The 13,248-nt window shown below is 41.1% G+C and overlaps 1 protein-coding gene across 1 annotated transcript in view, besides 1 other annotated feature; it reads right to left on the reverse strand.

The window, feature by feature from the left end:
* Nucleotides 1-923: 923 nt before the first annotated feature.
* The window catches only part of SAMD12 (sterile alpha motif domain containing 12), a 490,139-nt gene continuing 477,814 nt past the window's right edge, over nt 924-13,248 (reverse strand). Inside the window, exon 6 of the transcript NR_146234.2 lies at nt 924-1,656. The gene's annotated coding sequence lies outside the window, so the exon portion shown is untranslated. The remainder of the gene's footprint in view (nt 1,657-13,248) is intronic.
* Nucleotides 11,709-12,003: a silencer, noted in NCBI's record as "tiled region #7200; HepG2 Repressive non-DNase unmatched - State 24:Quies". NCBI's record gives its function as "represses a minimal TATA promoter and a strong SV40 promoter by Sharpr-MPRA in HepG2 cells {active_cell/tissue: HepG2}" and the evidence as "EXISTENCE:reporter gene assay evidence [ECO:0000049][PMID:27701403]".

Here is a 13,248-nt window from a genome sequence, read left to right on the forward strand (position 1 = left end):
TTCCCTCAAGTAGTCCCTAGTGTCTCCTGTTGCTGTCTTTATGTCCATGTGTACCCAATGCATAGCTCCCAGTTATAAGTGAGAACACGCAGTATTTGGTTTTCTGTTTTTGCATTACTTCACTTAGGATAATGGCCTCCAGCTGCATCCGTGTTGCTGCAAAGAACATGATTTTGTTCTTTTTTATGGCTGTGCAGTATTCTATTGTATGTATGTACCACATTTTCTTTATCCAATGCACTGTTGATGAGCACCTAAATTGATACAATGTCTTTGCTACCAATTCAGCTTTTAAAAATTGGTTAACAAGAAACCAAAACCAAATTTGGATGAGAGTCATACCATTGTCTCTCTAGCATATCATAAAACAGGAGTAGATGGCATTTTGTGGGGAATCTTTTGGGTAGACATGATTATCTTGTAAGATCTATTATTCTGAGGTCTAGTTGCTTTTTAGGTCTACAGGGTGTCTAGTTTTTGAGTATACTGTATTTCATCCCTTTTTGTATATTTAAATTAAAATGAATGTATTTTTTTTGAAAGCCATTTTAGTATTACCCATATAGCTTCCATTCGTCTTCATTTAGGAAAAGCTTTTTTGGCCAAGATAATCCAGACTCAGGAACAGACATGAACTTATACCTGTATCTCTATTGATAGTCATGACATTATCAATACCAGTATGTTTCCCCCCAGCTCATCCTCTTCCTAATTTTATTGCCTGCTTCCAAAATGAAGGCTATAGGTAGAAGTCAGGAAGAGCTGAATTTCCAGATGACTAAGGAGTAGTAGAAAGAACACAAGAAATTCTACAATTAATGTTGATTCATTTGCTTCCTTGGAGTAACACCTCCTCTCATTAAAGAACAACCTTATTATCCCACTGTGAGAAGAAAATGACCTCACAAAGGTGAAATACTATGTGGCATGGTAAGCTTCCGACAAGTTTTATTTATTGCTATCCTGATGATAAGAAAAATAATTCCGGTTCTGAAAATTTATATTTTTACAAGTTACATAGTACTGTAGAAAGTTCAGAAAACATAAATAAGCAAAGAGAAGATACCCATTATCCTATTATAATGGGTATGGTATACCCCAATATCCATTATCAAGTGATAATCAATGTCAGTATTTCCACATATACACTTACAATATTTTTCCATTCATATCTTTGTATTTTTAAATAAAAGTTAAATCATATAAAACAATACTGTTTGCAATTGAAATTCTCTCTCTACAATATATTTCATACATTACCATATGGATATATACAGTTTTACTGAGTGGTTCTGTGTGTTCATAGTTGCTCTACATTTTACTCAAGCAATTCCCCTGTGGATATATACATTATGAAGATATTTCTACATAAAAAGGAACCCTGTGGTTCAGAACTTTGCAACATTCAAAGTTTTTCATTCTCCAGTGAGTACTCCCCATTTACAGCAGTGTCCCCAATTCTGCAATGGGGAATGCACAACCCCAGAGTGTTCTTTCAATTTATTCCAACTCCTTCTTCCTTAGTGTGAGTCTTGGTACTAGTCCCATGCTGAACTGCTTTTATCATCAATTCAAGTTTCCAGAGCATTCCGAGCATTGGAAGACCCACTCCCCACAACTGCTTCATAGTAGCTCAGGCAGAACCTGAAAGAGAATCTGGAAAATGTGACAATATCAGCACTGTTCATAGGAATTTTCTAGAACAAGTGTTTCTGTAAACCTGGATGGAATCCCCTGGGCCCTGAATTATAAACCGCAAATTCAAAGCCACAGCAACACCTGCTGCATCCAACAGCTCTTAGGAGCTACTTCCTGGAGCCACTCTGAATTCTCCAGAGCCTTTCCATCCATCTTCCACCATCCCAAACATTGGAGCTGAGTGCAGTTTTTAATTGCAGGAGCCTTAGTAGATTTACTTACATATGTTTTTATTACCCAAACTATAGTATATGCTTGAATGATTTCAGAATGTGGCCACCTATCAGGGAGACAAATATTTATTGTGGTGAGAGAATATTTATTCTGGTGGTGAGAGATGATTCTTATGGTAGCTAACATATGTGTGTGTGTGTATATATATATATATATATATATATATATATATATATATATATATATATATATATCTTATTACTTAATATGAGTCAAACATTTTATCTGAATAATTTCCACATTGAAAAAATTGGGTTTTATCTGAATGATTTCCATGTTGACAAAATTGGCATTTCACTATTATATTTTCTCTGTTTTATGTTTTTATTTCCTTCTAGAGTTCCTTATGAGTTTTAAAATATGACCATGTAAGTCAAGCACCTAGCTCAGTGCCTCATGTAGAAGGCATTCAATAAATGATATTTCCCCTTTCTCTTCTGCTTTTTTAAGGTGTTATGGCTTATAGGGCATTTTGATGTCCATCATTCATTTGATCTTCTTTTTTTTCCTTCAACTTTTATTTTAAGTTCAGGGATACATGTGCAGGATGTGCAGGTTTGTTACATGGGTAAACATGTGCCATGGTGGTTTGCTGCACAGATCAATTCATCACCCAGGTATTAAGCCCAGCATCTATTAGCTATTCTTCCTGATGCTCTTCCCACATCCCCATTTGATCTTCTTAATCCCGAGATGGAGGCAACACTCTCTTCATATATGTTTTATATATAAGAAAGTATTCAAATTTAGCTGTTGGTACTACTTCCTTTTTTAGATTATGAATTCTTTAAGGACAAATACCTTCCCTGTGTTTCTTTTTACCAAACAGCTCAACATGTCAGGTAGAAGAACTGATACATAGCAACAGCAAGACTTTTTTTTTTTCTATTGAAGTCTACCTTAAAAGTGGGTGGTGGTTGTTTTTTGCTTCCAGAAGTTTTGTTGCTGATAAAATAAGACAAAGTACTCATTCTAATGTGAATTTATGGAATGATTGTCTGCCCATAAAAAATTATTCTCCAGCTTGGAGCAATTAAAGTAGTCCCTCTCCTCTCCAAATTAATGTAATTAATACTATAGTCCTGGTTGTTTATCATGTCTTGATAATATCACAAGGGAATGAAAATATTGGCTCTTTTATCCCCTTAAATAGCGGAGATGAAACTGTTCGAGCTCTAATGTTACAACAGCTGTTTCTCATGTCCCTTGGAATATAATTGGTTGGTACTGAGGTTACTAAATTGTGAGAAATTGGCTTTGGTTTTATGCTTGCCTACTTTTGGTGGAGGGAAAGATGGGAAATGTTAGCTTTCTCTTGTAATGAAAAGGCAAAATCTTCCCCAATGAAATGGCAGCTTCCGGGTCTCATCTGTATAATTTTCTTCAACAACCGACTGTCTCTGGGTTTCTTGGATAACACGCCTGGGAAAGCAAGACCATTCTAGCTTCCCTGCTAATTAGCTCTCAACCCCATGCAGCTGGCTGAAATACATGTGGGCTTTCCCATGAGGGGCTTTTTCTGGAAGTCACTATAAAGTGGTCTGGTCTCCAATGACAAATTCAATAGGGGATTTGAGACCTTAATTATCCCAAATAGTTTATAGGAGCAAGATTCTTTTATCTGAATGTCTTTATTGCTTAGGACAGTTGTTTTCAATGTGTCGTTCCTAGACCAGCACTGTCAGCATCACCTAGCAACTGGTGAAACATGCAGATTTTCAGGCCCACTCTAGACCTACTGAACCAGAAACTCTGGAGCAGGGAGGGTCCAGCAATGGAGTCCAGCAATCTACGGTTTAATGAGCTCTCCAGGTGATTCCGATGCCCAATAAACTTTGAGAACCACTAGCTTCGGGTATAACCAGGTTTTCTTGGTTTGTGGTCAGGCAATACTCATTAGTCTGCTGCTAACTTGTCCGCTGTTTAATCTTCATTAGTCTTCCAAGGAATCGAGTGTGCAGCGAAGTGCATACTCGCCTTCATACCAGCCTCCTCAGAGCAAACTCACTCCCTCACTCATTGTCACTCTCTTGCTCATTATTGTCTGAGGTTGTAGGGCAGTGCCTCTCAGTCTTTACTGTGCTCATGAATCATGTGAAAAACTTGTTAAAAGGCAGATTCTCATTTAGAATGGCCAGAGCAGGGTCTGTGAGTGTGCATTGCTAACAAGCTTCAGGTGCTGCTGCTGGTCCAGAAACCACACAGAAGTGACTGGAGGAGCTCATATATGTGACACCAAGTATATGCTAGAGAAAATGACAACTGTAAAGGACACATACCAGTTAATTGGTACAATATAGGCAATCTAAATAATGATGAATATTATAACAGTTTATCAGGTAGTGTTTCTTTTTTGTTTTTTTTCTGAGACGGAGTCTTGCTCTATCACCCAGGCTAGAGTGCAGTGGCACTATCTCGGCTCACTGAAACCTCCGCCTCCCGGTTTCAAGCATTTCTCCTGCCTCAGCCTCCTGAGTAGCTGGGATTACAGGCATATATCACCATGTCTGGCTAATTTTTGTATTTTTAGTAGAGACGGAGTTTCACCATGTTGGCCAGGTTGGTCTCAAACTCCTGACCTCGTGATCTGCCTGCCTCAGCCTCCCAAAGTGCTGGGATTACAGGCATGAGCCACCATGCCTGGCCTATCAGGTAGATTCTTAAACGACAGACTTGAATGAGGAATTTTTCCATTGGAGAAATTTTCTTCTTCTTTTTTTCTTTTTTGAGACATGTTCTTGCTCTGTCACCCAGGCTGGAGTGCAGTGGTGCGATCATAGCTCACTGCAGCCTCAACCTCCCAGGCTCAGGTAATCCTCTCACCTCAGCCTCCCAAGTAGCTGGGACCATAGGCATGTGCCAGCATGCCCAGCTAATTTTTTAACTTTTTGTAGAGACAGGGTTTTGCCATGTTGCCCAGGCTGGTCTCCAACTCCTGGACTTAAGCAATGGGAGGCCTGCTGCCTTGGCCTTCCAAAGTGCTGAGATTACAGGCGTGAGCCACCATGCCCAGCCCAGAAATATTCTTTAGCTCTGCTTTTCTACTCCTTGGGTTCCTTGTGCTCCCACTCTCCTTTCCACATCTCCTTCCACACAACATCCTCATCCTTCCTTCCTTCCCACTCCCCCGCTTTGTCCCCACTTTGTCTCCTCTCTGGTTCTTTCCATCTGAAACTTTATCTGGCTTCTTTGTTTTTCCTTTTTCTTTTTTTTTAGACAGAGTCTCACTCTTGTCACCCAGGCTGGAGTACAGTGGCACAATCTCAGCTTACTGCAACCTCTGTCCCCTGGGTTCAAGTAATTCTCCTGCCTCAGCCTCCTGAGTAGCTGGGATTACAGGTGTGTGCCACCACACCTGGCTAATTTTTGTATTTTTAGTAGAGATGGGGTTTCACCATGTTGGCCAGGCTGGTCTCGAACTCCTGACCTCAAGTGATCCGCCCGCCTTGGCCTCCCAAAGTGCTGGGATTACAGGCATGAGCCACCATGCCTGGCCTATCTGGCTTCTTTGTTGATACTTACGTCAATTCTCATGAACTGAAAAGCCAAAGCCAACATTTTGGAGGAGATCAAGTGGGAAAGTCATAAGGGAGAACTTAAGAAGGCTTAACTTTACCACCTAAAACAGTTTTTCAAGTTGTAAATCCAGATGCTCACCACTGAATTCTTATTTCCCTGGTGTTCACCATCCAATAGGCTATAGTTTTGTCATCCTTTGGGCTCACCTCCTTAGATGGGAAAGAAATCAAGTATGGGCTGGGTTTTCCCACGAGCTTCCAGACTGGCAAGTTTCCTTTAACCTTTGAAAATTACTTCAAAGTTTCCCTTTGAGGAAAGCTGTTGGTGTACACAGCTGATGTCTTTGCTCCTGGATCTGACTCCCCTGGCTGAGCTGTAGATGTGGAAACCAGGGTAGGGGAGTCACTTTAATGTCTGCTGTAAGAAAATGGCAGAAGGAGACTGTAGAAGATGTGAGGAAATAAAGCAAAAGGGTAATCAATCCGCAAGGAAGAAAACCCAGGGCTTCTGTGTGAGTAGATTCCTAGACAGTTTCTTTCTGCCTCTTCTTCCTCCCCCATTTCTTTGGCAATAGAGATTCCTCTGTTACTGGTAGAGGGTTTGACTGCTAGTTGTCCAGGTTCTCCGTGTTTTGAACAAAGAATTGGACAAAATGTACATCAAAGCAAGGAAGAATGAAGCAACAAAAGCAGAGAGTCATTGAAAATGAAAGCACACTCCACAGAGTGGGAGTGGGCTGAGCAGTGGCTCCAGGGCCCCAGTTACAGAATCTTCTGGGGTCCAAACACCCCCTAGTGGTTTCCCATTGGCCACTTGGTGTTCACTCTATGCAAATGAAGTAGTGGCCGGCAATCAGTCTGATTGATTGTGGAAAGCAACCAATAAGAGGCTGAAGTGAAGTTACAATGGTTATGCTTCTATGCAAAGGAAGACTTAGCCCCCAGTCAGAGGCTGAAGTGAAGTTACAAAGTTACACTCCCATGTAAACGTCTGATTTGTTTCCACAATTTTCCATCTGCCTTCCAGAAAAACTTGGGGGTGGGGGGCTTTGCAAAGGGAGTGGCCTCTGGTTCTTTTGTTACTTAGGCATGGAAAGTTGGGGTTTTCCTTTCATTTTAGTTATACGAAGTCAGCGTGAAATCGGCCTCAGTTTCCCCTCCCTTTGGACCCTATTCTCCTGCCTCACTTCCTCCACCAGGATGTGCATCCCTCAGAAGTTCTTATAACTGTCCTACAGTTCTTGAGTTACATGGCTTGGAGGAGGAGTATCAGCTTAAATTAAAGAGCAGAGGTTTTCCTTCTGTGCTGTGTCTTTATGCTCTTTTGGCATCCCTGGACCACATTGGAAGAAGAATTGTCTTAGGCCACACATAAAATACGCTAACACTAATGACAGCTGATGAGCTGAAAAGAAAAAAAATCATCACAAAAACATCTCATAATTTTTTAAGAAAGTTTACAAATTTTTGTTGGGCCACATTCAAAGCCATCCAGGGCCACATACGGCTGTGGGTTGGACAAGCTTGCCAGCATGGTGCCATCAGACAAATATTAAAAATACACATGAGAAAGCATTTTTTTTTTTTACTTATGAGCTAACTTGTTTTTCCTTAACTTTTTTTTCTTTTCATGGGACTAAAATTAGAGAGGAAAATGAAATATCAATGTTAGGCAGAATGAGCCAATAAGAAGAGGTGTGGGACAGACATGTGCTGGGAATGGAGGAATAAGGCAGAGGGTGAGACTGAAAGTAAAATCTGATTTGGGTCTTAAAGGATAAGGAGGAGGCAGCATGGAACAGTGATAAGAACATGGGTCTTAGAATGTGTATCCTGATTCCAACGCTTACTGAGTGAGTGACTCGAAGCGGGCTGAATATCCCAGTAAGATAATGTATAGAAGCACTGCATAAGTCAGAAAATACCTGCAGGAAATAGAAACCACTCTAGCTATGGTCTGAATGTTTATATGTGCCCCAAATTCATATGTTTAAATCTTTACCCTCAAGGTGACAGAGTTAGTAGGTGAGGCCATTGGGAGGAGATTTGTTCAAGGGGACAGAGCCCTGATATTTGGGATTAGTGCCCTTATAAAGGAGGCTCGGGTGAGACCCCTCACCACTCCCACCATGTGAGGACACTCCTGGGAGGTGCTGCCTATGAACAAGGAAATGGGTCCCCATCAGACACTGAATATGTTGGAGCCTTGCTCTTGGACTTCCCAGCATCCGGATGTATGAGAAATAAATTTCTCTTGTTTGTAAGCCAACTAATCTATGGTATTTTGTATAGAAGCCTGAATGGACTAAGATGGTATTTCAATCAGAATAGGGTTTAAAATAGAAAAATAAGTGGTTACAAAATATAGGCGAGATGGCAGGAACTGAAGACACAGGGCCACTAACAAGCTTCAAGGCTTCTCTTGCAGCTGGCACCCAGTTCAGGAGGCTGCAGGAGACCACATTCACCATCATAGCTGCCCCACAGCCTCAAATCGGTTTTCACACCAGCTTTCTGGTGACTGCACAAGCTCCAATTTGATGAGCATGTGCATCAGCCAATACCGACACTAAGGAGAGTGGCCCTCTTCCCTTCCACTTTCCAATCTCATTAGCGTACAACTCATTGCTGGACTCTAAATTGTATCGAACTTAACAGCCAAGGAGACTGAGAATATAATTTTTGGCTTTCTGGCCCATGTGATACAAGACCAAGTGGAGGCAGAGGTGGTGGAAATGGATATTAACAACATGTGGTATAAGTATTAAGTGCAGAGAATCAAGAAATGCTAGTCTGCATAGGAGGAGCAAGTAATGTTCAGTGAAGTCAGACCAGAGATTGGTGTCAGGGTTTTGGCAGACATTAAAAAAAAAAAAAATAGAAATCTTCCCTTTACACTGGAGAGAAACCCAATGATAAAGGGAAATGGCAAAGAAGGAAACATAACTGGATATATTTCTCATTCACTCAATGAAAATTAACAATAAGTTTCTATTCTTTATTTGTTTAGTTTTAGTTTACTTTCTATAAACAGTCTTACTCTGTCACCCAGCCTAGAGGGCAGTGGCACGATCATAGCTCTCTGCAGACTCAAACTCCTAGCTTGAAGCCCTCTTCCTGCCTCAGCCTCCTGAGAAGCTGGGACTACAGATATGTGCCACAGTGCCTGACTATATCTATATATTTTTAGAGATGGGAGTCTTTCTGTCCTGCCCAGGCTGCTCTTGAACTCCTGGCCTCAAGTGATCTTCCTGACTCAGCCTCCCAAGTAGTTGGGATTACATGTGTGAGCCACTGCGCCAGGATTCCATTCTAGGATTCCATTCTATCTGGCTAAGATTCTATCTGTTTTAGGATTTCATTCTATCTGGCTACAATAATAAAGATAATGTCACAGCTTGCTCACACCCTGTGGCTGGACCCCGTATCTTCTTCCCACCCACCTACCAAAAGACTGAGGCCCATTTTCCGTTGGCTCTCATTCAAACTCTGTCAGTTAGGATCTTCTCCTTCCCACTCAATCCTCTAGGGTGATAAGCACATTTTCCAGCAGCTCTGGAGTCATGGCTGCTTACAAAAACTGTGCCAATCCAAACAAGTCCAGCTGGAAGGCGCTGGACTTCCTTTCCTCTGCCATCTTCCCAGCTGAAATCACAGGGAGTTTTGAACCAGCAGACAGGAGCTGAAGCAAGAGACACAAGTCTCATTTCCCTAGGGTGAAGCACAGAGCTGTTAGAATGGTCCCTCCCTTATTCTTTCAAAAAACTTTGACACCTTCAAAAATGGCACAATTGAAGAAGAAGGATAAACAATAATTGAAATGGAAGGATAAACAGTACATGATATTATGAAACTAAAATGAAGCCAAAATGTTCTCATTCTTTCACCTCAATATAACCTCCAGAAAACCAGGGAATTTGTCTTTTATTTTTTTTTTTGAGACAGTGTCTCACTCTGTTGCCCAGACTGGAGTAGAGTGGCATGATCACAGCTCACTGCAGCCTCCACCTCCTGGGCTCAGGCAATCCTCCCACCTCAGTCTCCTGAGCAACCGGGACTACAGGCATATGCCACCATGCCTAGCTAATTTTTTATTTTTTTGTAGAGATAGGATCTTGCTATGTTGCTCAGGCTGGCCTCAAACTCCTGGACACCAGCAATCCTCCTACCTCAGTCTCCCAAAGTGCTGAGATTATAGGTGTGAGCCACTGCACCTGGCCTTTGTCTGTCTTATGTATTGTTATATTTCCCTGCAATCTGTATTGGGGGTAAGAGACAATGACTCTTATTGAGGTGGAGGGCATCGTGTTTCAGAGAAACTGGCACTCCACAACTATTTCATTTGCTCTTCTACATTTTCTAGCCTCTTTTGCAGTTTGGTTGGGCTGTACAATTAATTCTGGCCAATTAGTGAGTGGAAATGACACTTGTAGGCCATGATAATTAAAAGCCTAGAGCTTTCTCCATCTTTCTTTTCCTTCCCTGAAGCAACTTGGGAAACCATTGCCTTGATTCATAATACAGAAGAACCCTGGCCCTCTGAGTCATTAGGAGCCTACCCCTGTCCCATGGCCTGCATCAGGTTTTACATGAATAAGAGATAAAGTTTTGTTGGGCTGAGTCACTGAGATTTCAGGGTTTATCTGTCATTGCAGCATAGCTTAGACTATCTTAACTAATAAACACTGCATTATTCATATATTAATTCAACTGACATTTATTGAGTACTCCAGAGTGTTAGTCACAAGAGCAAGAATATTTAGGAACTGGCAAAAAGATAAGCAGCTACAGAAGCAAATTCTAAGAGATATGAAATTCAAAGGACATTGTCAACACTTTTCTGGCTCAGCTTTTACGAAAGTCTTCAGAGTTCAGTAGCCCTTTGTTCAATGTAACAGAAGTACTAACTAATTTGAGACTGCCATATGTGTAGAGAAGATGCAAAAAATAAGAATAATTGTTCCTTACATGTTTATGTGCTTCACATTTACAAAGCCTGTTAGAAATGCATGGTCTCATTAGAAGTTTATCAATAAGTTTGTGAGGATGATATGTGAGGTATGATTGCTCTCATTTTACCCTGGTGGAAAATGAAGCTTGGTCAGGGGAGATCCACATTGCTGATAAATAACAGAATCAAATCTGAAGCCAAGGTCTGCTGTCTTGAGCCAATGCCCCATACACCAAGCTTCCTGCTAACAGTCTGATATTTGACTTTCCATGATGAAAACATACCAGTATAGAAATTGAGGTGTAGGTTAAGGAGGGAGAAATGGGGTAGGCCAAATAACTCTGGTGAATAGTTTTGATGTAAAGAGTAAAATTGTTAGTTCTGACTCAGTGAGTAATAGAAGCCACATAGATCTTAAACAGAGCATCTTTCTATTTAATTTACCTTTTGCTGTGCCACCTGACTCCATGGCAATTGCCAGGAAGTAAGCAAAGAAGCAAGACCAGATTTGGACATTTAAATCTTCAGAACCAAATGCAGAGAGAAGAATAACAGAGGGCTAGGAAGGGCTAGGGTCCCACCTTAGTCCTGGCCATCCCCTGTGATAGTTTCTAGAAAATTTTGGAAGATGGCCTCTCCCTGGGACAGTTATCAAAGGCATATGTTCTAGGATTGTAGACCCAGTTCATAGTAACATGAAATGATACCTTCTAGGCTCAGTAGCTAATAACCACGCAAATTTTGTGGCCCCAACTAGAGATTCTCACTACATAGCTGGAGGTTTTAGAGCCACGTAGAGACTTTGGCACCTGATTAGAAAAGTTGTTCCAAGGCCTCAGAGGGAGGCTGTGCATCTCTCCCAGGTCCTTGAACCTCTTGTTTCCAGTGCCAAAATTAACAAATGTTAGAAGCAGACTCTCACTATTCAACAATGTGTAAGCCATAAACCGAAATGACATTAACCTTTTAAGAATCAATCTCAGCATTAATCTAGCACCCACATTCCCCCTTTACCTCTACGAAAAGTCTATTTCTGCAACTTGGCTTATAGCATCTCTAGAAGTTCCCTCTTGCCTTCTATCACCTAATGTCTCTCAATTCTTCAAACCCTAACTCAGGTTTCTCTTCTTCTGGGAACCTTCTCCTGTCCATCCCTACCAAGTTCAGACCAAACATTTAACCATTCAATTCATATCTATCGAATGCTTGCTTTACTGCAGAAACTGTCTTCGGCATTGGGAACACGGTGGTGAACTGGAAACCTCAGATCAACGGGCTAACTTCCAGTCTAGCAGACCAGAGTATTTGCTTCCTGCTATCTGCTTCTATAACAAATTCAAGTACTCCTACATTGGCCCTCACAATATGCTGCTGACATGAATCCTTGGCTATCTTTGCTCAGATAAGTTCTTTGATGTCAAAAGCCATTCATGTGTCACACATTTCTGATCTCTGCAGTGCCAAGCAAAGGAGTGGGCTAATAGATGAATATCTACTAGTTTATATAAGTGACTAATACTATCCTGTGTCATAGAGCTAATGGCGGTGAGGAAGAAGAGTGAGGGAAGGGATGTGTTTAGACTTGGTTTGCCTAGAGCACAGACCCAGAGATGTGTTAGAATAATGAATAATAATAATAGTGAATAAACCACAGGCACCGGCCAGGGCCTGTTTATTACGAAACACATCAAGGAAGTATGATGGTAAACCTCTTCTGGTTGAGTAACTTAGCTTATACTACTTGTTTAAGCTCACCAAGGGAAATTCCATCATAAAACACAACTTTTTTTTTAAAGGGATTCCTAAAGGTTGACTTCTGAGTTGTGATTTCTGGGGACACAGTCAAGACTTTTGATTACCTGTACATCTGATTTATGGAGAATCATTTGTGCAAAACCAAGAGGGGCACAGTATATCTAAGAGTATAGATTCTCCTCCTTTTAGATAATGTGTACTGCAGAATTACTTATAGAATTAGTTATATAGGACCCCAAGTCAATTTACATAAATGTTTTTGCACAAATGTAAAAAAAATTCACTAAGGAATTATGGTTATTTTTGAAGCCAGATAAACCCTAATTTCACATGAAGAAATTGAGGCATAAATACCCTAAGTGACTTGTCAAAGATCATGCACTCAATTAGTGTCAAAAGCTGAACTGAAATGCAGAACTCATGGCATCTACCTGTGTACTTTGCGCCACATCACAGTAAAGTGTAAAAGCATGTTAGGGAGTTGCAAGCATGCCTTTGAAGCCGTTCTCTATCTGTCATTATAAATACCCAGACTGATAGAGCTCAGTGGTGTTCTTCCAAGAATGTGAAGCATAGACTGCAGAGAATCCACAGCAAGAGGGGTTAAAATTAAACCTGTGGGAATTAATCTCCAACTTTCTAGGCACGGGCAAAGTGAGAGTATATCAATCAGAGAAGAAAAAATGTAGAGTCCAGAAAATGAGACAATATCCTAACATGCCATAGAATATGGAAAGCACGAAAACACGGAGAGGACTGAGGTCTACGCACAGTCATTTCCCAGACCCCCAGATCCTTGTTTATTTACTCCCTTGTGTTAGTTTCTTGTGGCTGCTATAACAAATTATCACAAACTTGCTAGCTCAAAACAACAGAAATATATTTTATTGCAGTTCTGAAGACCAGAAATCCAAAGTAAAGGTGTTGGCGGGGCTGTGTTCCCTCCTAAAGTTCTGGGAGAGAATCCTTCCTCCCCTCTTCCAGCTTCTGGTAGCTCCAGGCATTCCTTGGTGTGGCTGCATCTCTCCAGTTTCTGCCTCCGTGGTCATGTTGCCTCCTCCCCTTCCGTGTGTTTTCTCCTCTGTGTGTCTT

Source organism: Homo sapiens, chromosome 8 (assembly GCF_000001405.40).
Source record: "Homo sapiens chromosome 8, GRCh38.p14 Primary Assembly".
NCBI classification, from domain to species: Eukaryota; Metazoa; Chordata; class Mammalia; order Primates; family Hominidae; genus Homo; species Homo sapiens.